Genomic DNA, 25,310 nt, shown 5'->3' with positions numbered 1-25,310 from the left:
GTCTTTCGATGAAGGTGCTGTGAAAGACAATCTGTTTTGTTTTAAAAGATATTCAGAAAAACAAACTTAATAGTGCCTCAGTAGAAAAAGCCTTCCAACTCAAGATTCTATGGAGTGTTACAGGGAACTAGGCAAATATTACAAAAATATCACTAATTTATCACAAATGCTTTGCATTCTAGCTTCTGAAACTGATCTAATTCTTTAGCTTTTGAGAATGCCTGCTCATGCCTGCCTTCTTACAATGTCTTCTTCTATCCCCTTAACTTCTCTAACAACAGCAGACTACTTCTTCTAAAGTAAAGTCAGTCACGTTATTTTCCTGTTCAAAAATCTTTCACATTACCCTGAACTCAACTTGACATCCAAGGTCTTCCAGGTAATGACCACAGTTAGCACTCTTCCCCCTTCCTTCCATTACTCACTATAGAATAACTCCTCCTGATTCTGGACTTTGCTTAGACTATTCCCTTCCTGTTCTAGTCTTCAACTTCCTATGCTTGTTTTTTTGTTTCTTTGAGACTGAGTCTCGTTTTGTCGCCCAGGCTGGAGTGCAGTGGCAAGGTCTCGGCTCACTGCAACCTCCACCACCTGGGTTCAAGCGATTCTCATGCCTCAGCCTCCTGAGTAGCACCACCACGCCTGGCTAATTTTTGTATTTTTTTTAGTAGAGACAGGATTTTGCCACGTTGGCCAGGCTGGTCTCAAACTCCTAACCTCAGGTGATCTGCCTGCCTCGGCCTCCCAAAATGCTGGGATTACAGGTGTGAGCCACCACGCCCAGCCCCTTTGCTTTTTTCTTATTTTCAAAGCTTTCAAAGCCTTATCTATGTCCCAGATCCACTTTGAATGCCTACTTTAGAAATGCTGGTTTTATACTTTTAAATCATTTGTCCAACTGCTACAATGCTGAACTCCTGAGAGCACATGTTTGTCTCTGTTATGGTAGTTCTTACTCTGTCTTCTTTTCTAATCAATGTATTTGCCTTAAATTCCAACTAATTTTATTGATCATATTAATCATCTTCATCACCTATCACTGCAGCTTTTTTCCTAGTATGAAACAATGGAAACAACCTAAATGTCCATCATTATGGAACTTTGTTAAAAATATCAAAATCACAGTGAATATGTACTGATGAGACAATCTCCAAGATTACTATTAAGTGGTTAAAAAAAAAACAAAAAAAGCAAAACATTATGTATGTATTATATATTACCATCTGTGTTGAATACTATATCTAGGGAGCTCCATCTTGTCATGTACCATCAATAAAGTATACTGTACCCAAGAAAAAAAAAATACTATACTTAGAACAATACATAAGAAACTGAAAAAAAGTGGTAACTGGTTGGCTCTAGGCTGGGAACCTGGGTAATAGGGGGGATAAAGAAGTCAGGGGAACCCTTACTTTTCCCATTGCATACCTTCTTGTACCTTATAAATTTCGTGTAAAATGTTCACATTACCTACTCAAATAAATGAGTTTTTAAAATATAAACAAAAACTTTTATTTTAAGATCTAGTTATTTCCTTAGATTACTAAATCTGTAATAAAATTAGTTTGCCTTCAATATTCTTTTTTCACCTCTCTCAAGCAGAGCCTCTCTACCACAGTGAGCCAGTAAATTCACACAATATCCTGCTTATTCCTTCTTCTATGCTTTAAAGTTGTTTTTCTCATGGGAATTTCCCTCTCTTCTTATTAACTCAAATGTAGCGTAGCATACTGCAGTACTTCTCAAGCAATAGTGTTTTTAGGAAACACCTAGGAAGTATATTTAAAATGCAGGTCTCAATGTCAAACACACATCCACACAGTACCCATGATTCTCATTTGGTAGGCCTATGATGGAGACCAGGGATTTGGAGTTTTCTAACAGGCACACTTAAATGATCATGATACAAATGGTCTAAGGACCACACTAAGAAAAATACTGAGTTATAAAAATTAAGAGTACTGATTCTAAAGAGGTCAAGGTTTCAGTCCCTGTTCTGACCATTATTAACAGGATGGCTGGGTGCAGTGGCTCACACCTGTAATCCCAACACTTTCGGAGCCCGAGGTGGGCGTGTCTCCTGAGGTCAGGGGCTCAGCACCAACCTGGCCAATATGGTGAAACCCCATCTCTACTAAAAATACAAAAATGAGCTGGGCATGGTTGCATGCCTCTAATCCCAGCTACTCGGGAGGCTGAGGCAGGAGAATCTCTTGAACCCGGGAGGCAGAGTTTGCAACTGAGATCGCGCCACTGCACTCCAGCTTGGGCGACAGAGTGAGACTTCATCTCAAAAATAAAAAATAAAAAATAAATATTAATAGGATGACCATGGACAAGTTTCTTCCCACGTCTATTCATTGATCCCCTTATCTGTAAAATGGGAGTGAAAATGACCCTCTCATGTAATTTTGTGTGAAAACTGTATTAGAAACTAAAACTGCATCAGAAACTAAAAATTGGTATTATTTATTCATTGAAAAATAAGAAATATATATTACCATAAATAACATACTTTAACAAAAATTAACATATCAAAATTTAAAAATAGATCAAGAGTGGTACTGCCTTCTATTTTTACAAATCTTTTTAAAATCCACGGGTCCTCTTGCATTTTGAATGGGATCTGTTACTCAGACATGGTTTTGCAACATCATCCATTGGTAATATGGAAAATACTAGTTCACTGAGTCATACAGTTCTTCCAAATTTAGATTCTAATACATAATCCAAAATTACATGTATCTCCACCAACCAAATCAGAAAATATAACTATTGGAAAGCTGTCAAAGTCATGGTAATAGATATGTTTTGCAAAGTTTTCATTTTTGCTTGATAGCTCCAACTTTATCATTGGCAAAAAAAAAAAAAAAAAAAAAAAAAAAAAAAAAAATACTGTCAGGTTTTTTCCCTAAAGTGACAGACTCACTTCATTCATTTTCATGAAAATGTCTGTCAAATGCTGGTCTATATATACTTATAGTTCCTAAATTTATAATGAACATCAGAAATATGTTCATTATAAGGATTTTTAAAATACAAGTTCCTGCCATACCCAATCCCCAGAGATTTTATTCTAGATTAGATCAGCTCCAGGAACCAAAATTTTAACAAATTCCCTGGGTAACTCTGAGACTGCTGATCTATAGTATACTAGGAAATATTTAGTTATCAATTGTTTCCTGAAGTATGTACTAGCTCTTTCCTATATTCATGTTCTCAGTTCAATTATCAATTTCTTTTTTTTTTTTTTTTTTTTGAGACAGAGTCTCACTCTGTTGCCCAGGCTGCCAGGTTGGAGTGAAATGGCACAGTCTCGGCTCACTGCATCCTCCGCCTCCCAGGTTCCAGCGATTCCCCTGTCCCAGCCTCCCAAGTAGCTGGGACTACAGGCATGCACCACCACACCCAGCTAATTTTGTATTTTTAGTAGAGACAGGGTTTCACCATGTTGGCCAGGCTGATCTCGAACTCCAGACCTCAGATGATCCGCCCACCTCGGCCTCCCAAAGTGCTCGGATTACAGGTGTGAGCCACTACGCCTGGCCTAATTTAATTTCTTAACAAGAAATTTTTAGATTTTTCACACCACAGCATTATAACTGTCTCTTGGCTTTGACCATTCTTGAGAATGCTCATGACAAATAAATAAGATATGCCCTATCTCCTACCTATATAACTTCAACCTTCACTTCATGGTGTACCTACCTCTAACGTCCTCCTTCTCAGTTTATTCTGCACTAAAGTACACAGATAAATTTTCCTGAACATAACTTTACTATGACAACATATGACTAAAAACTCTGAAAGACTTCACAATATAATCTCCAAGTCTTCACTCATATAATTCACTTGGAATGTTCAACAACCTCATTTCTTTTTTCTCTCTCTCTTTTTTATTAAGACACCCAGGCTGGAGTGCAGCGGTGCAATCTCACCTTTCTGCAGCCTTCACTTCCGGAGCTCAGGTCATTCTCCCGCCTCAGCCTCCCAAGTAGCTAGGATTACAGGCGTGCGCCACCATGCCCAACTAATTTTGGGGGGTTTTTTGTTTTTGGCTTGAGTGCAATGGCTCCATCTCGGCTCACTGCAACCTCTGCCTCCCAGGTTCAAGCAATTCTCCCTGCCTCAGCCTCCCAAGTAGCTGGGACTACAGGCGCACCACCACACCCGGCTCATTTTTGTATTTTTAGTGGAGATGGAGTTTCGCCACGTTGGTCAGGCTGGTCTCGAACTCCTGACCTCAGGTGATCTTCCCAACTCAGCCTCCCAGAGTGCTGGGATTACAAGCGTGAGCATACACAAGGACAAACAGACTCGTAATACATAAAACAATGAATTATATATGATGAAAGTTAAATAAGTTAATATACACTAGACAATCTAATTCCTGCAGTATGGAAAAAATGGACATTAAAATTGATGGAGTAATACCATCTATGCAAACAGCACATAATCTGGTCCTATATTATTTTCCAAGAGTGTCTTTTTAAAGTAATAAAAATCACACTAAAACCCCTAGTTGTTAAAACACCTTCACTACCAGATATAGTATATAGATATTATCCATAAATATTTTATTATGTATCTCTAAAATATAAGGACTTTAAATAAATGATCACATAAAAATATTGATATTAATTCCTTATTATCATCACATCTTCAGTTGAAATACGGTTATGCAAACATGCAGAGGTACTATCCTGTTTGCCACTTCTGATTCTGAAGTATGATGGAAAGAACATGAATCTCTGGCACCCTCTGGTGTTTAAGCACAATACAGCTTCCCAAATTCACCCCAGCTATACTGACAAGCAGAATAGAAAACAGAATCTTCTTAGCAGAAAAAGTCACAAATGAATCCCCCCGAAAAGTGTAAGTTAACAAAATAGTTTTTAAAAACTATGAAAATATCATTCTATATTATTAAATGTCATACAGTTTGGTCAAGACAAGAGCTAATATTATTCGCTACTATTTCTTCTTATTTAACAAAAGAGCCAACATCGAGGGTCTATTATCAGTTTCATTTAAAAAGTAACTGAAGTAAGGCTGGGCACGGTGGCTCATGCCTGTAATTCCAGCACTTTGGGAGGCCGAGGCAGGTGGATCACGAGGTCAGGAGATCGAGACCATCTGACCATCCTGGCTAACACGGTGAAACTCCGTCACTACTAAAAAAATACAAAAAAAATTAGCCGGGTGTGGTGGCGGGTGCCTGTAGACCCAGCTACTCAGGAGGCTGAGGCAGGAGAATGGCGTGAACCCAGGAGGCAGAGCTTGCAGTGAGCCGAGATCGTGCACTGCACTCCAGCCTGGGAGACAGAGTGAGACTCCATCTTAAAAAATAAATAAATAAATAAATAAATAAATAACTGAAGTGATGTAAGTATCCAGGGAAGCAAAATTAAATTTAAAAAGACATCACTATGAAAAGATATGCATAAAGCCATGTGTGACTGTGAATTACTAGAAAGTACTGTACAAAAATGAAAAGTGCACCTTTGTACAAAAATATCTAAGAAATAGCTGAGATTATAAATACTCCTTTTCCAAAACTCACCATTTCAACAAATATTTGAATGCCTATTATGAAACAGGCATTGTTCTAAACACTCGGTATACATACAATGGTAAACAATCATTGTAAGCTTTCATAGACGATTAAGAAGAAGTGGGAAATACATGGAAGCAGGGGTAAACAAATAAATGAACAAAATAATTTTAGATAAGTACCTCAAGACAGCAGATATCACTGTGGAAGCTACTTTATGTTGGTTGGCCAAGCAAAATTTACCTCTCTAAGGAGGTAGATTTGATATATGAAAGACCATGTCATATGAAGACTGAGGGACAGCTTTCACTGCATACCACATCAAAAACTATACAGTGGGTTTTATCAAAATCTCACATAACCCATAAATATACGCCTATGTACCCCCCAAAATTAAACATTAAAAACATTAAAGAAAATAATAAATAAATAAAATTGTACATCAGGACCATGACTAGTGTGTCCGAAGAACAGAAAGGAGGCAAACATGGAGCACGGATCCCTAACACCACAGACCGTGATCCTTGCAATTCAGTTTTTCTGAATATGAGAGATAATTTGCTTATGCAATGGCTTTTCAGTTTTTCTGTTCCCTACAACCTTACCAAATTCTAACAAATATAACCATGGTTTCAGATGGGAATCTTCTATATCGTAAAAAGAAAATTCTTTAAGCCAATTCTCTGCCCCCACCACCCAAATTAACCTAATCACACAATTCTATACAAACTTCATGGAACTGCCATGCTGATTCTAAAATTCATGCACGAGAGAAAAATAACAAGTAAAATTAAGATACCTTCGATAAAAAGGAATATAGAAAAAGGACTTACTTTAACTATGGGCTAGATAAATAAATAAAGATGTTATAACAATCGAAAACACCAAAATAGTAATATCAAAACAAAACAAATATTTGGGAGGCCGAGGCAGGTGGATCACCTGAGGTCAGGAGTTTGAGACTGGCCTGGCCAACATGATGAAACCCCGTCTCTACTAAAAATACAAAAATAAGCTGGGAGTGGTGGCGCGTGCCTGTAGTTCAGCTACTCGGGAGGCTGAGGCACGAGAATCGTTTGAACCCAGCAGGTGGAGGTTGTGGTGAGCTGAGATCGCACCACTGCACTCCAGCCTGGGCAACAGAGTGAAACTGTATCTCAAAAAATAAAATAAAATAAAACAAAAACATATCACTAAAATGAAATTTGCCCTTTTTTAAATGGGAATTTACTATAAGATAAAGGTGGCATTGCAAATAAGAAAGTTAAAGATGATGAACTCTTTACTAACTATTGCTCAGACAATTCATTTGAGGAAAATTTAATCTCTGCCTCACACATTTACAAAAATAAAATCAAGAATTATTGAAGATATAAAGGTAAATATCTGTATTTGAGGTAAGTGCATACAAGTATCTTAGAAGAAGATACAGAAGGCACATCATTCTGGGCTCATAATACGAAAGGATACATTAGAATTCAAAAGCCATAAAGGAAGAGACTGCTAAACTTTATACTGTAATTTAAATTTTCCATATATGAAACACTAAAAACAAATTTCCAAGTTAAACAAAAAACTAGGAGAAAAATACTTACAATGTATATATCAAAGAATTACTACTGTCCAGCATATGTACATAAGTCTGGAAAGCAATAAGTAGTCAACAGATAAATGGGCGAAAGTAATAAGTCAGAAATTTCCCAAAGAAAATACTTATAGTGACATTTTTCCTTCAGGCAGTAAGTGGACTAGATTTACTGAGGAGCAATTACACAGCATAAGACATTTTCATTCCATTGTTTGGTTCACAGGACCTGTTAAAAAAAAGGTGTCAGTAAAAATCAGCAATAAGCATATCCTAAAGGAAGAATTGCCTCAAGGGCAAATGACTGTGGCTAGCACTAGTTCTTGATTACAATGGGAAAAGTGTATCTGAGACTCCTGGGTAAGTCAAGTTCCCAGGAAGAAGACTAAAGTGGTTCCAAGTCAATAGTAATCCCTGGGTCTACTAGAAACAGTCACAAATCCTCTCTGGAAGAAAGCAAACTCAGTTTAGACCCTCAGGTTTAATCTGATTTACCTGTCCCACAAAGTTTTAGATTTATTGACTACATTTTTTACTTCTAAAAGTCCTATTTGGTTCTTTTTCAAGTATTTGCAGTCATTTTTAAAAATAGTTTCTTGCTCATTCTTGAGATTCCGTATTTTATTTTTAAATACTTTATACTATTTTTTAACACTTACTATTTGATCATCCTATGTTTGAAGTCACTGGAATTCCAAATGTATTACTGTTTCCCTGTAGCTTGACTCAAGGATACTTCCTTGCATGTTTATCTTTAAATGTGAACATATATTTTATATGAACACCCAAAAACAATGGAATAACATCTTCAAAGCAAAAAAAAAAAAAAAACAGTCGACCTATAATTCTAATCTCAATCTTGACATTGTCTATATAAATAATCTAAAATCATCTAGAAATTATTAGAAATAATAACAAGGCTGTTGGTATATGATTTTTTTAAGTCCTGAATTTCTCTATGCTAGTAAAAGAAAAGGCAGTTACCAAAAATATTACTTATAATAACAACAAGAAAGATATCTAGGAATAAATCTAACAGATAAATGCAACAAATCATGCAGAATCTGCATAAATAAAATTATACTACTTTATTGAAAGATGTTTAAAAAGGTATATATAATGGAGATATAAATCATGTTCATAGAAGGATCCAAATTATAATAAATCAGCTGGAAGACAGTGGGCCTATGGACTCAGGCCACGCCAATTCAAATTCTAACAGATTACTGGTAGAATTTAACAAGTTGATCATTAAATGTATAGGGAATAGCAAAAGCCCAAGTAGAGCCAAGGAGTATGAAAGTGGAGGGAGTATGAAAGTGGAGGGGGTATGAAAGTGGAGGGGGTATGAAAGTGGAGGGGGTATGAAAGTGGAGGGAGGATGAAAGTGGAGGGAGGATGAAAGTGGAAGGGGTATGAAAGTGGAGGGGGTATGAAAGTGGAGGGAGGATGAAAGTGGAGGGGGTATGAAAGTGGAGGGAGGATGAAAGTGGAGGGGGTATGAAAGTGGAGGGAGGATGAAAGTGGAGGGGGTATGAAAGTGGAGGGGGTATGAAAGTAGAGGGAGGATGAAAGTGGAGGGAGGATGAAAGTGGAGGGAGGATGAAAGTGGAGGGAGGATGAAAGTGGAGGGAGGATGAAAGTGGAGGGGGTATGAAAGTGGAGGAGGTATGAAAGTGGAGGGAGGATGACAGTGGAGGGGGTATGAAAGCGGAGGGAGGATGAAAGCGGAGGGAGGATGAAAGTGGAGGGAGTATGAAAGTGGAGGGAGTATGAAAGTGGAGGGGGTATGAAAGTGGAGGGGGTATGAAAGTGGAGGGGGTATGAAAGTGGAGGGAGTATGAAAGTGGAGGGAGTATGAAAGTGGAGGGGGTATGAAAGTGGAGGGGGTATGAAAGTGGAGGGAGTATGAAAGTGGAGGGGGTATGAAAGTGGAGCGGGTATGAAAGTGGAGGAAGAAAAGGAAATAAAGAAGAAGGAGAAGTAGGTAGAAAATATGCATTACCAAATATAAAACTTCTTTTGAAATTATAGTAAATTAAACTGTATGCTATTGGAAATTTTAAAATTAACCAATAAAATGAAATAGAGATAAAAAAGATTAACTATTGATTAGAGGCATTTTAAAAAAAGAAAGATTAAAAAAAAGAGAAGATCCATATATATATGACATAGGAGACATTACAGATCACTGAGGAAGGACAAATTATTCAATAATGCTGCTAGAACAAGTGGTTTCCTATATGGGGAAAAACGAATCAGGATCTCTAAACCTCCAAACCATAGCAAAAACAAAAACCAAATTTTAACTCCTGAAGACAAAAAGATATTCAAATAGGCTGGGCATGATGGCTCACACCTGTAATCCCAGCACTTTGGGAGGATGCGGCAGGAGGATCACTTGAGGCCACCAGTTTGAAACCAGCCTGGACAACAAAGCGAGATCCTCATCTCTACAAAAAATTTAAAAACTAGCCAATTGTTATGGCGTGTACCTGTTGTCTTAGCTACTCTGGAGGCTTGTTTGAGTCCAGGAATTTGAGGTTGCAGTGAGGCATGATAGTGCCACTCAATGCACTCCAGCCTAGGTGACAGAGACCATTTCTCAAAAAAAAAAAAAAAAAAAAATTTAATATGAAACTTCAAAACTTTTAGAAGACAATATAGGAGACTATCTTTGTGATCTCCAGAAGGATCTCTAAAATAAGGCATAAGTATTAATCATAAAAGAAACTGCCAAATTCAACAACTTTAAAATTAAGAATTTCTGTTCATCAAAATATACCATAAAAGAAAGTAAATTGCAAAACACTAACTCTAGTAGATATGTGTAACACAAAAAAAGTATAAAGAATTAAAAAGGACTTCTGTTTCTGTTACAGACCATTGTAACCTCAAAACAATCAGACAATTGTTTTGAGGACAAGAAACTAATAAAGCCATAACAATTTTAAGTTTATTTGAAGGCATCAGAGAGCTGCCGAGGGAGCCAGGTCTTGAGGGACGACAGCCCTGAGAGAAGAGAACCTCACTGAAGTAACCCCAAATTTCTCCATGTTTTTTTTCCTCTGGGCACATGCTGATTCTTGACGTGGAACAAGACACTAAGAAACCACAGAGCCAGCAGCTGCTAAGAGGCAGAAAAGCCAACAGAGCATTAGGCAATCTCATGAGGAGAGAGAGAGACAAGAAGTTGAAGTCCAAGGCTGCCAGAACTTGAGGGATGAATGGACCATGATCCTATTAATAAGTGAGGCATTTACCAATGTTTTTCATACAGATCTGACATTTAATTAAATATTACCAAGTGCAGCAAAGAAACGGGATTAAAAAGCCAGATAATAGAAATAGAGTCACAGGTAACCCGGACATTGGAAACATTAAGCATTTGACTTTAACCACAAATGGCAGGGTGTGGTGGCTCATGTCTATAATCCCAGCGCTTTGGAAGGCTGAGTCAGGAGGATCACTCGAGGCCTGGAGTTCAAGACCAGTCTGGGAGACAAAGCAAGACCCCACCTCTACAAAAATAAATTTTAAAAAAAGCTAGCTAGGCATAGTGGCACATGCCTGTAGTCCCAGCTACTTGGGAGGCTGAGGCAGGAGCATCACTGGAGCCTAGAAGTTCAAGGCTGCAGTGAGCTATGATTGTGCCACTGTACTTCAGCCTGGGCAACAGAGCAAGACTGTCTCAAAAAAAAAAAAAACAACAACAACAACCAAAGAAAACCACACATGCACACAATAAAATAACTACAATTAATTGTTCAAGAACATAGAGGCAAACAACTATACCACAGGACAATAATCCATTAAAAAAGAAATGATGGTCGTGGTTTCTAGTAATGCTACAATAGTTTGATCAATAACAATTACAAAATCTACAAACAGTTTTTAAAAGGCAATCATTTGGAGACTTAATAAAGGCAGGCAGAAAACAGAGGTAAGTCAACCGTTGGATGATGGGAACAGTAATGGGTAAAATTTGTGAGTTTATGTCTTTTGGTCTGAAAGCACTCCCTAGTCTATGCACTCCCTAGTCTATGACTAGTGGCTTGAGATGTCCCAATAACAGAGCTTCAAATATATAATACAAAAATTGACAGAACTAAAGGAAAAAACAAGCAAAAGGAAAAAAAAAATCAGAGTGGGAGATTTTAATACCCACTCTACGTAAGTGATGGAAACAGTCTGAAAAATAAAACCAAAAAAAAGCCCAGGGTATAGAAGATGTGAACACTGTCACCCACCTTCACCAAACTGATGTAGACAACAAAAAACTACTTCCCCAAACTGAATAATACGTATTTTTCTCCCAAGTGCTCATGAGATATTAATCAAAATTAGTCACACTGAGAAGTCTCAATAAATTTAATAAAATTGAAATTATATGTTCAAGAATATGTTCTCTGATCACAAAACTGTATTAGAAAACAAATAAAATATTCCAGAAAAGCATCAAATATTTGTACCAATAAATTAAAGAAAGGAAACTATCTTGACATGAATGGAAAGGCAAAAAAAAAAAAAAAACACACCCTATAATCAGTTGGGTGCTAAATCAGTATTTAGGGAGAAATTGATAGGATTTTTTTGTTGTTGTTGTTTTTATCTTGTAGCCTCAGCTCAAATGAGGAAATGTATAATTTTAAATGCTTACATTAATAATAATAATAATAATAATAATAATAAATGCCTACATTAGAAAACAAGCCAGGCATAGTGGCTCATGCCTGTAATCCCAGCACTTTGGGAGGCCAAGATGGGAGGACTGCTTGGGCCCAGGAGTTCAAGACCAGCATGGGCAACATAGTGAAACCTCATTGTTACAAAAAATAAAAATTAAAAAAATTAGCCGGGCATGGTGATGCGCACCTGTAGTCCCAGCTGCTCATAAGGCTGAGCTAGGAAGATGGCTTGAGCCCAGGAGTTTGAAGTGCCACTGCACTCTAATCTGGGCCACAGAGTGAGACTCTGTCTCAACAACAAAAAAATTAACAAAACTGATAAAAGCCTACTAATAAAAAGAGAGAGACTACATATTTTATAGACATTAAAAGGATAAAGAAATAAAATTAATTTCATGCCTGAAAAAGTCAACTACAAAAATAAAATCCTTGAAAAATGTATATACTATACTACCATTAAAGCATCTATACACATTCAAAAGAAAAGTATTAGGAACAATTTCTTGCTGATAAATCTGAAAATCAATATGAAATGTACAAAAACCTTAAAAAAATACAACTTCATGAAATTGGCATTAAAATGAAAAAGAAAATCTAAATACCTTTATATCTATCAATGAAATTGACTTTGTCAAAAAACATTCTCCCAAAGAAAACAACAGACCTATCTAGTTTCAATGGTAAATTCATTCATACATTTAAGGAAGAAATCATAACAATTCTACACAAAAGCTTAAAACAAAGGAGGGGGGGAAGACTATGACTCATTTTTTTTAAGCCAATATAATCACAGATACCAAATTCTGGCAAACACACTCTAAGAACAAAAAACTATAGACCAAATCGCTCATGAATATCAACACAAAACCCTTACAAAACATTAATCAATGCAGCAATAAATAAAAAGGCTAATACTCCAGGAATGCAAGAACATTCAGAAATTTAAAAATCAATGTAATTCATGATCCTAGAATAATAAGAAAAATCAATGACCACCTTAAATAGATGCAGAAAAAGTTCATGACAAAAACACTCAGTTTAAAAACAGGCAATAGGAAGACTATACTTTCAGGGATCATTTCTATAGTTCTTTACTAGAGAAGTTTCTCTGAACATGTAGAGCACTGTGCCTTAAAAAAGAAAAAAAAAAGGGCTGGGCATGGTGGCTCACGCCTGTAATCCCAGCACTTTGGGAGGCCGAGGCAGGCAGATCACCTGAGGTCAGGAGTTGGAGAGCAACCTGACTAACATGGAGAAACCCCGTCTCTACTAAAAATGCAAAATTAGCCATGCATGGTGACACATGCCTGTAATCCCAGCTACTCGGGAGGCTGAGGCAGGAGAATCACTTGAACCCGGGAGGCAGAGGTTGCGGTGAGCTGAGATTGCACCATTGCACTCTAGCCTGGGCAACAAGAGCAAAACTCCATCTCAAAAAAAAAAAAAAAAAAAAAAAAAAAGGCAATAGGCTGGGCATGGTGGCTCATGCCTGTAATCCCAGCACTCTGGGAGACTGCAGTGGGAGGATCTCATGAGGCCAGGAGTTCAAGACCAGCCTGGGAAACATAGTGAAATCCCTGTCTCTACAATAAATGGGAAATAAAAAAAAAAGTTACTTGGGCATGGTAATGTACACCTGTAGTCCTAGCTACTTGAGAGCCTGAGGCAGATGGGTCGCTTAAGCTCAGGAGTCTGAGGCTGCAGTGAGCTAGGATTGCACCTCTGCACCCCAGCCTAGGCAACAGAGCAAGACCTTGTTTCTTAAAATAAAACAAAAACAGGCAGGGCACGGTGGCTCACACCTGTAATCCCAGCACTCTGGGAGGCCGAGAAGGGCGGATCACAAGGTCAGGAGATTGAGACCACCCTGGCTAACATGGTGAAAACCCGTCTCTACTAAAAATACAAAAACAAAATTAGCAGAGTGTGGTTGCGGGCGCCTATAGTCCCAGCTACCCGGGAGGCTGAGGCAGCAGAATGGCATAAACCCAGGAGGCGGAGCTTGCACTGAGCCAAGATCCTGCCACTGAACTCCAGCCTTGCAGCCTGCGTGACAGAGCAAGACTCTGTCTCAAAATAAATAAATTAATTAATTAATTACAACAAAAACAGTCAAAATATTTGAACACATATTTCACAAAAGAAGTTACATAAATGGGCAATAAGAACAAATGCACTCAACATCATTAGTCACTAGGGAAATGCAAATTAAAGTCACAGTGAGCTACAACTACATACCAAACCAGAATAGCTAAAATTGGAGGGGTGGGGGGCGGGGAGAGACAAAGTAAAACTGCAGTATCAATTGTTAGCAAGGATGCAGAGCAACTAGAACAGAATCTCATACTTTGTTGGTGGAAATGGAAAAATGGTATAACCATTTAGGAAACTAGTGTGGTGGCTTCCCATAGAGTTAAACATATGCTTATATACCTACCATACGACTCAGCAATTCTGTTCTATGTATTTATAGAAAAGAAAATCTATGTCCATACAAAGATATAGACACAAGTGTTCCCAGCAAGCTTTATCATTGCCAAAAACTGTAAACAACCCAAATATCCATCAACAGATAAAGTGATCATTCAGTGCAAACAAAAGCAATATACCTGTATAATAAAATATTACTCAGCAATAAAAAATGCAACTACTGATACATACAACAACATGGTATATATAAAACACATTATGCTACCAAAAGAAGCCAGACACAACATGAACTGTATGATGTGTGAATATTGATGATATGAATTGGGTCACTCATGTCATACCCAACTAAAACAGAATAGAGAAGCCAGGGGGAAAGCATGCAGGGCACAAAACATTGCTCTAGAAATGTAATTCTCTACGAGTCCAGCTGCTGAAACTGCCTGTTGTAACCTGAGACCAGTTTAATCTATAACTGCTGAGACAACTTGCTGCAACTCTAGAACTATTTTGCCTACCACCTTCACATGTCAATCAGAGCTGACCAGCTTCCCAGAACCTTAACAGTGCCAACGAATTTTCTCGAAGAGGATTTCATGTCATGTCTCTTTTTTAATCTCCAGCCTTCTCTTTGTTCTTCGGACATACCAGAGATGATCTGGTCTGTGTGTATGCTTTGAACTGCAATTCTTTCTCCCCAAATAAAATGTTAAATTTAGAGATTCACTTCTACATTTTTTTTTTTTTTTTAATGAGACAGTCTCACTCTGTCACCCAGGCTGGAGTGCAGTGGCGCAATCTCAGCTCACTGCAACCTCCCAGGGTTCAACTGATTCTCCTGCCTCAGCATCTCAAGTAGCTGAGACTACAGACATGCACCACCATGCCCTGCTAATTTTTATATTTTCGGTAGAGACAGGGTTTCATTATGTTAGCCAGGCTGGTCTCGAACTCTTGACTCAAGTGATCCACCTGCCTCGGCCTCCCAAAGTGCTGGGATTACAGGCATGAGCCACTGTGTCCGGCCTACCTCTACATTTTTAATTTGACTTTGACAGATGCCACTCATGCAAAACTCTAGAAAGGACAAATCCAAACCCAATCTACAATGATAGAAAGCAGATCAATGGTTGTGCAGAACCTGAGGTGTAATGTGGGGACTGGCTGGTAAGGAGTGCAAAGGAATCTTTTTGGTGTATTGAAAATATTCCATGTATCCTGACAGTGATACTTGGTACATGGGTTTAGCTTTTTGTCAAGAGTCATTAAACTGAAAGATGATGATGACTGCCTGGATTACTGTCTTCCAGAATACCCAAACTCCAAACTATAAAGGAAAAAAAAACAAATCCCATGCAAACTTTTTCATCTTCTCAATCTCATCTACCCCTCCCCACCCCACCCCATGCCTCAAGGCTTGCTACAGGCAAAAAGAGATGGAAAAAAAACTGCAGAAAAGAGAGACAGGGCAGAGCCAGTGGTGGGCATAAGACTAAATACATCCCAAGTCAGAAAATGCTAAAAAGGTGTTCCCATAAATCAAAGCATGACTACATGCAATTTAAATTGGCAGACTGAAATGTGCAGATTCTTGGAAGGAATAAAAGGCAAAAAGGAGAGGGAGAAGCACCATTTGGAAGCGGAGAAAATGCAAAAGGGGAAAATTTAGAGTGCTGCAAGACAAAAAAGGACCAAACAGTTTTCCCACGGCAAATAGATACAAACAAAACTCTAATAAAAGAGGCATTGAAGAAAGGTGGAAAAACAAGGGAAAAACTGACATAAATAAAGGGTAAAAAAAGGGTCAGAGACAAAGTAATGGGAATGAAAGAGAGGCAAAAGGACTAAAATCCATACTATTACACTCCCTGAAACACACACACACACACACACACAAAATCGTGAACAAGAACTAATATTTAAAACTATACTCCAAGAACGTTTTCCAAAAATTACAAAAGACCAGAATCTACATACTGAAAGGGCCAAATAGGAATTGAGGAACCACCACCTTTACAACATATTCTAGGGCAAAACTATGAGATTTCAAAAATAAAAAATCCTGAAGTTCTTCAGACAAAAAGATCAAATAAGAATAAGACAACAATGGGGCAACATTTAAAAAAAAGGTAATACAAAAAGTGTTGATTTCACAGCCAGCCAAGCTGTCCTTCAAGTATCAAAAGACACTGAAAAATAGTTTTAACATACAACAACTTAGGACAGGGGTCCCCAGCCCCCAGGCCATGTACCGGTAGCAGTCCGTAGCCTGTTAGAACCTGGACTGCACAGGAAGAGGTGAGAGGTGCGCAAGCGAGCATTACTGCCTGAGCTCCAACTCCTGTCAGATCAGTGGTAGCATTAGAGTCTCATAGGAGCACAAACCCTACTGTGAACTGCACAAATGAGAGATCTAGGTTGTGTGCTCCTTATAAGAATCTAATGCCTGATTATCTGAAGTGGAAACTATCCCCTCCCCCTCAATCCTGGTCTGTGGAAAAATTGCCTTCCAAGAAATCAGTCCCTGGTGCCAAAAATGTTAGGGACCAATGACTTAGGGAATTCTATACCTGTGAGCCTTTCCTGAGGAATTTACCAGCAGATGAACTTCATCCAACCAAGAGATGACAGAACACGACAGAAAAAAAGACCGATGGTGAACATTTTAATATACGCATATAAAAGTAGACCTACAAATAAAATGTACATGGGGGGATGAGGAAGACTAAGGTACAAATTTTATACAAATATTATATTGAAATATATATATAAATTATGCAGTTAAAATATATATATTTAATATATATATTATATATATTTAAGATCCAAATGTTTGCCAGATAAACAATTTGGAAATATTTTCCTTGTGGCATGTTTATTCATTTCCTGGACAGTGTTTTTCACAGAGCAAAAGTTTTTTAATTTTCTGAATTCCAGTTCATTAATTTTTCCTCTTGTAGATCACTCTTTTCATGTGTTATCTAAGAAATGTGTGTAACCCAAGGTTACAAAGATTTTCTCCTATGCTTTGTTCCAGAAGATCTCGTTTCAGGCTTGCCCTTTTTCTTAATCGTCATCCTTTAATTCCCATCTATTACCTATGTAAAAACTATTGTGTACATGTTCTATTTTCTCTGCTTTCCCCCACTTTAACTGCATAATTTCTATATATACAAATGTTATATTTCTGTATATATACATATTTTTAATATAAATATTCATAAATAAATATGTATGATACATATATATACAAATGTTATATGTTTGTTTATATATTTGTACATATAAAAATGCAAAAGGGAGAAATTATATAAAAATTTATTTTATATATTTGTATATATAAGAAATATATACAAATATAACATTTGTTTATGCATATATAAACTCTTAAAAACACTTGATCGTAAGAAACCAATGCAAGAAACAAAAATGGGCCAAAAATTTGAACACACACTTCACCAAAGATATATAAATAACAAATAAGCACAAAAATAGATGATCAGCATCTTTAGCCATTAGAAAAATGCAAACTAAAACCACAATAATAACCACTTATACACCTATTAAAATGGATTTTTAAAATATCAAAAGAACTGAGAATTACCAATTGCTCACAAAGTTGGACAGGAACTAGAACGCTCATCATCAATGACAGAAATGCAAAATGATACTGTCATTTTGATAAACAATTTGGTAGTTTCCCTACCAAAATTCACACTTACCTAATGACTCATCAATCATATTTCTAGATAGCAAAAGCATATGTTCATGCAAAATTCTGTACATGAAGCTTTATTATATAATCATCAGAAAAACTGGAAACCACCCAAATGTCCATCAATAGTGAAAAAGATCAACAAATTTAATTTCATAAAATAAAATGCTTCCCAGCAATGCAAAAGAACCATCGTCTAATATTCCAAATGACACAGATGCTCTAAAAAACATGTTGAGTAAAAAAGTCTGATGCAAAAGGGTACATAATAACGTAAAACTCCATTTATGTGAAGTTCAAGAATAGACAAAAATGATCTATCGTGATGGACGTAAGAACAGTAGCTGCCAGAGGCAGGGGATAAGGGTAATTGATTTCAAAGGTGCATAAAGGTGATGAATATGTTCAGTATCTTGATCGGCATGATGATTACACAGGTATATATATTTGACAAAATTCACCAAGCTGTACATTTAATAGTTGTGCATTTTATTGTTTATAAATTATACTCAATAAAGTACTGTTAGCTTTGTAAAAAGGCATCAGTATATCTATTTTAGTAAGGTATTATTCTGTCATCTCTCCTTTTTAAAAAAAAATTACTTCCTTAAACCAAATTTAACTATTTATTTTCTTACCGGAAGCATGATGTTACATTCTCTTTTATTCTATTTTTCTGAGTAGGAGATGCTTGAAGTGACAGAATTTTATTTCCAGGCAGAGTAATTTGCTTTAGAATGGAAGCTATAAAAACAAAACAAGAAAAAATAGAATACAAAAAAAGCAATCACACCACATTAGGAAAAATCCAGGACAACCGTTTTTTATATATATAGAATAATCAAAGAAAATTCCAAGCTGCCCTAGAACTATGTTTAAATTCAAACATGACAATGAATTTATTCCCTGAATAAGAAATAATCTTATAAAATAAGAATCTTTCCATTTCTTTTTAGATAGTCTATGTTAGCAGTATTATAAAAATATCATGGGTAAAAGGCACCTGAAACATGTTAATAATACATTGCTTATATTGGTATTTTTTAAAAATACATAAAGCTCTACCTGACATTGGTAAGACTGATTTCCCAGTCTACCTGACTTGGGTAAGACTGATTTCCATACATATGCATGCATGTACATGCATACAAGTGTGTACATAGAGAAAGAACTACATTTTAAGAAGAAAAAATCTATAGCAAATTTTATAAGTTAAATAAGTCCTTATTTACTAATAGGTTGTTTTATCAAATTACAGAATACCATGAATAGTTGCTTTTTTTATTCCAAAACAACATATAACCCTAAAAAGTTTCTATGTATGTAAAAAGAAATGTGATCATAGCTGGGCACAGTGGCTCACACCTGTAATCCCAGCACTTTGGGAGGCCAAGGTGGGTGGATTGACCACTTGAGGTCAGGAGTTTGAGACCAGCCTGGCCAACATGGTAAAACCCAGTCTCTACTAAAAATACAAAAATTAGCCAGCTGTGGTGGTGCACGCCTGTAATCCCAGCTACTCCGGAGGGTGAGAACATGAGAATTGCTTAAACCTGGGAGGTGGAGGTTGCAGTGAGCTGAGATCATGCCACTGTACTCCAGCCTGGGCATCAGAGCAAGACTCCGTCTGGGGAGAGAAATCTAACGATTATCTTTCTGTTTTCTCTCAATGGGTGCCAACTTTAAAAGACCAAACCTCTCTTCTCTTAACACAGCAACAAAAAAGTTATACAAAACCCCTTCATGTTCTAACCCAGCATGATGGGACTGAGATGGACCAGCATCTACCTGGAGGAAACTGACTAGTAGGTATTATGGTGTTCACTGGCATCGTCTTCTGTCCACATTTCTGAATGGTCAATGTTGAGGAATGTGAAATTGTGGTCACTTGTTTTTCATTGCCTCCTGAAGGCTGCTGAACTACCTGAAACAATGAGAACTATCAATATAGTTGTTCAACTTAAGGCTTTAGAAAAGGATAAGATTTCAGTTTTAAACAACAGATTGTGTTCCCCCAGCCATAAATATACCTTTATCTTAACAAGAATGCCTACTTTAAATTTGTATGAAGCAAAATTATCTTGTTCAAAAGTGAAAAACGTTACTATCTCACATACATTATTTTCAGAGTGGAATTTAAATTTTATTTCACCATACTCAATTTAAATCTCCCTATAAATCCGATTTCCAATTGTTAACTTATAGTGAAAAATTTAAAGCATGTATAAAAACAGACAGGATAAAACAAAACCATCTATACCATTACCCAGCTTCAACAATGATTAATTCTTGATCAATCTTGTTTCCATCTACACCCCTACTCACTTCCCTGCCGCCCTCAATTATTTTAAGGCAAATCTCAGATATATCGTTGTATCCATTAATATTTCAAAATATATCTTTAAAAGGTAAGGACTTTTCATGTGCCATTTTAACCAAGTATTTTCTTTTTTTTTTTTTTTTGAGACAGAGTCTTGCTCTGTCACCCAGGCTAGAGTGCAGTGGTGCCATCTCAGCTCACTGCAACCTCTGCCTCCCAGGTTCAAGCGATTCTCATGCCTCAGCCTCCTGAGTAGCTAGGATTTCAGACACGCACCACCAGGCCTGGCTAATTTTTGTATTTTTAGTAGAGACTAGGTTTCACTATGTTGGCCAGGCTGGTCTCGAACTCCTGACCTCAAGCGATCCGCCCACCTCAGCCTCCCAAAATGCTGGGATTACAGGTGTAATCCCAGCCGTAATCCCAGCGGGGATCACACAGGGCGTGAGCCACCACGCCCGGTCTAAAGTATTTTCTTAGACCATCGCTTGAAAGCAGGAGGCGGAGGCTGCAGTGAGCTGAGATTGCACCACTGCACTCCAGCCTGGGTGACAGAGTGAGACCCTGTCTCAAAAAAACAAGACAAAACAAAACAGGTAGAAAAACAGTCATCATGTATTTGAGCCAGCTATTGATAGTGAACTTTCACTCATATATGGCAAATATAAATGTGCCATGGTCTTGCCAAAAGACAGACTTCTAAACAGAATTTTTAGAGTTCAATTTATTCAACTTATGTGTATTACTTTAAAAAAAGTAACAAGAAACACAACATTCCTGGTAAGTAATCCTATAGCAACTAATGCCCCTAGAGAAGAAATGTTAGTTAGAATAATTCAATTGCCCTTATTCTTTGAGAATAGACAAGAACTCTTTTAAAAATGATACATTTCAATGAAGCTGAGATCATATTCATGTACTATAGTTCTAGGGACCAGGCTTACATTTTACAAAGTAATATACAGGTCTCATTTTATGCATTCAGACTGAAACTCAAGAGAAACACTCCCAGCTTATTTCCTTATTATATGCACTGTCCTCCTTGATGCTCCTTATTAGGTATTCCTGTCAGTATTTTAATTATGAAAGACAGTAATATTCAAAAATTGTTTACCAGTGTGAAAGTTGTCAGAATCAAAATGAAGTCACTCGTGTTTGAAAGAAAACCAAAAACAAAACTCTAACAAATAGAGCTAGGGAAGACTAAGAGGGGGTTCTCATGCTTGTATGCCTAATCACAAAAACTATCCCAATAGACCACCAAAACCACAACCTTGCACAAAGGCCATAGCAACAGTACACAAAAAATACTGCAAGGACATCATCTGCTCAGCAACTGCCTATTTAAACTCAGACTGGTGTCGCCCTTGTTACTGAGCTTTGCAGTCAAGGATAATCATTTCAAAACAACTATATAATTCTCATTTTTCTTTTTAAAACCCGTCCTCCTTTACTCAGGAAGACTGCTTGAGGCCAGGATTTTGAGACCTGACTGGGCAATATAGCAAGACCCTGTCTCTAATCAAAATAAAAAGTTTTTTAATTAGCCAGGCATGATGGCATGCACCTGTAGTCCTAGCTACTCATGAGGCTGAGGCAGGAGGATTGCTTGAGCCCAGGAGATCGAGGCTGCAGTGAACCATGATGGCACCACTGCACTCCAGGCTAGGCAACAAAATGAAACCCTGAGTCTTTAAAAATTAAAAATAAAAAAACTTTTGTCTTCCTTTACCTCCCCGAATACACATAGTTTACTATGGCACCTGTATTCCCATTGCAATGCTCCATTACCAATTAAATGTCTTATTCTTTTAAAAAGCCTTTCTGTTATTTAGGCTGACACCAGTTAGTCTTCATACTATTTTTGATGGGTACACAAAAATATAACACAGTTTTATTTTATAATACAGTTTTGTATTGGGACTTAACAACCTTCAATCCCCATCACTTCCCATCTTAATGACTCTAACACCTGGAACAATGTATATGTCTAGTCTAACAAAAATATGGGAGGTACACTCCTGAACATCTGCTGAGAAAAACAAAATGAGTGATAATGTAAGAGAATTCATTAATGTTCTTTCAAAGAAAGCACCAAATAAAACCATAGTACTAAGCGGATCACTTGAGCTCAGGCGTTCAAGACTAGCCTGGGCAACACAGCGAAACCCCGTCTCTACTAAAAACATAGAAAAATTAGCCGGGTGTGATGGTCTGCATCTGCAGTCACAGCTAGTCAGGAGGCAGAGGTGGGAGGATTATCTGAGCCCGGAAAGTCAAGACTGCAGTGAGCCATGTTCATGCCACTGCACTCTAACCTGGGTGACAGAAGTAAGACACTGTCTAAAAAACAAAGCGAAACGAAACAAAACAAAACAAACAAAACAAACGCAAATGAGAAATAAACATTAAAAAGGAATTTTTAAATCCATGATTATTAAAGGAAGTAAGTGTGTATTCTTCAGACCATATGGAGTTAGATGAACCCCAGATTTGATACAGTGCAGTAATTCTTATATTTTAAATGATTATTTGCCATATTTCTTATAAGCTGCATGGAATACGTTATTTTATAGCAACTTGAGTGTTTTCCTCCTCACTTAGAACTAGGATTAAATTGGACTATGGTTTATAATAGATTCACTGATGGTATTCTTTAATTACTTTCAAACGAGTAATATTAATTTTCTAACTTAGTTTATTTGAAAGAATGCCCTAGTTCAATCTTCTCTATGGCATTACCATATAGAATGGTTTATGTTGTTTTGCTCCAGGTAAATCTGTTGTGAAATAAATTACAATCTGTCTTCAGGGTCTGGCCACTCTGGCTCTTGCCACTTTAAACAGGTAGGTGTAAATACTAACATCAAATTTACTGGCTAAACTTGAAACAAAGGACAAACAAGAAAGCAGAATTCACAGGGAAAATGAAATTATTAAAAATGAAGGTAGGAAGTAAAAAAACCCTAAAATTTACCATCAAATTTTGTTGCATTATTTCTTTATTGAAATGATTTATAATGTATAACAAGTCAAACCTACAAAACAAAAATGCTGTCAAGATATTATCATGAGACAGCTTCCTGCTTCAGGACATTCCAGAAACCTAGAAGTTCTTTCTAAGAGCACCATACCCTAATGGAAAAGTCATCTGGGTTCTAGTCTGAGATCCATTACTTGACTGTTTTTTGTTTTGTTTTGTTTTTGTTTTTTTGAGATGACGAGTTTCGCTCGTCACCCAGGCTGTAGTGCTGTGGTGCGATCTTGGCTCACTGCAACCTCTGCCTCCCGGGTTCAAGCCATTCTCCTGCCTCAGCCTCCCAAGTAGCTGGGATTACAGGTGCCCACCACCACACCTGGCTAATTTTTGTATTTTTAGTAGAGACGGGGCTTTGCCATGTTGGGCAGGCTGGTCTCAAACTCCTGACCTCAGGTGATCCGCCCGCCTCGGCCTCCCAAAGTGCTGAGATTACAGGCATGAGCCGCTGCGCCCGGCCACTTAACTGTTACTGGATGAGTCAGCTCAGAATTTCTGGATTCTTAGTTTTCTCCCTACCTTTTTATCATAAAATTATTTTAAAATCCATAGCATATAATGACATGCTTTTAAAACTATGTAGCTATAAAGTATTATTTCACCCCAGGGACCTATATGCTATAGATGCTCAATAAAGATTAGCATTGATTCAAGAAACAACTATGACATATAAAGAGGATTTCAATTCTGTTCAGTGCTACCAAAAAGAGGCCTTTCCTTGGGGCAATTCCTCTATTCCAGTGGTTCTCAAACCTGGCTGCCCAGAACAATGTTTAAGAATCACTGCTTCTAAAAATGTTGTTTCATCTCTGAGATTAAATTCACGTACCCAAGAGAAATCCTGCAAGGCAGTTACATTTCCCCACTTGAAAATGAGATGCAGAGTGGGAAGGGATGAGAAAAGATTAGTGCCCAGGAAATGACCATCATTTATCTGCTCAAGAGTCTGACTACTCTCCAATTCTGGTCACGGATCAACCCCTTTCATTCTATGTCCAAAGCTGCCCTGTTGCCTCAGACGACAATCACTCAGATACCTCTTATTCTGATAAAACAAACAGGGCTGGAAAGGCTACCCAAGAAGCAGAATGAACCAAAACAGAGATTTAAAACACAGCGTCTAATGCAAAGCATTACAAAAGAGAACAAGGACATTCACCAAAAGAACAGCAAGCTCTGTTATCGTAGAAGATAGGGAAGAACTTTACTAAAAACGTTATGATTTTTAATTAATGCATCATGTAGTATCTCCCATGAGTTAACAATACTTTCATAGCCTTCTGGTAAAACTTACCTTTTCTTAAATAAAGAAGAACATTCTAAACACTAATCGACAAACAGCTAAAATTTCCTTCTTTCACCCAAGAACCTCCCAACCTACCAAGTTTAGCAAAAAAACACAACAATCAGACAAAACAAAGGACTATTCTGCAAATATTCTGGGCACTTAAAACATTACAATATAATAAACAACCACAAAAAGCTAGAGAAGTATTCTAGATTAAATGAGCCAGGTACAGTGGCTCATGCCTGTAATCCTAACATTTTGGGAGGTCTAAGTCGAGAGGAACAGTTGAGGCCAAGAGTTTGAGACCAGCTTGGGCAACACAGCAAGACCCTCTCTCTACAAAAAAATAAAAATAAAAACACATTATTGGGACAACTACAGAAATACTGTACCAATATTAATTTCCTGTGTGTGACAACAGGTATGTTGTGGTTATGTTTTACAAAAAAAACCTTTTAGGAGATATACACCATGCACTGTCATAATTTTTGCAACCACTCTCAGGTGGTTCAGTAAAGACTTACGTGTGTGTTTGCTGCTGGGCGTGGTGGCTCATTGCCTGTCTGTAATCCCAGTGCTTTGGGAGGCCAAGGCGGGTGGATCATTTAAGGCCAGGAGTTCAAGACTAGCCTGGCCAACATGGAGAAACTCCATCTCTAACAAAAATACAAAAATTAGAAAGGCGTGGTGGTGCAC

At 37.4% G+C, this 25,310-nt stretch overlaps 1 protein-coding gene and 1 pseudogene across 7 annotated transcripts in view; one reads left to right on the top strand and one right to left on the bottom strand.

Annotated features, from left to right (window-relative positions):
- Positions 1-25,310, bottom strand: part of TAF4B (TATA-box binding protein associated factor 4b) — a 165,241-nt gene that overhangs the window by 79,547 nt on the left and 60,384 nt on the right. For 3 of the 7 annotated variants that reach the window (XM_024451239.2, NM_005640.3, XM_011526153.3), the window contains exons 8-9: positions 19,758-19,893; positions 18,608-18,713 (exon numbers count right to left, since the gene is read on the bottom strand). In XM_024451239.2, the coding sequence (XP_024307007.1) occupies positions 18,608-18,713; positions 19,758-19,893 (242 nt within the window). Of the gene's footprint in view, positions 1-3,877; positions 7,369-16,824; positions 16,945-18,607; positions 18,714-19,757; positions 19,909-25,310 lie in introns of those variants that run through there. The other 4 variants (NR_121653.2, XM_017025932.2, XM_005258339.4 and 1 more) reach the window with 4 other exon arrangements.
- LOC124904383 (uncharacterized) lies at positions 12,884-12,981 on the top strand (annotated as a pseudogene).

Source organism: Homo sapiens, chromosome 18, assembly GCF_000001405.40.
Source record: "Homo sapiens chromosome 18, GRCh38.p14 Primary Assembly".
NCBI lineage: Eukaryota > Metazoa > Chordata > Mammalia > Primates > Hominidae > Homo > Homo sapiens.
Note: the sequence above shows the minus strand (reverse complement) of the source record. Positions and strands in the feature narration are given on the sequence as shown.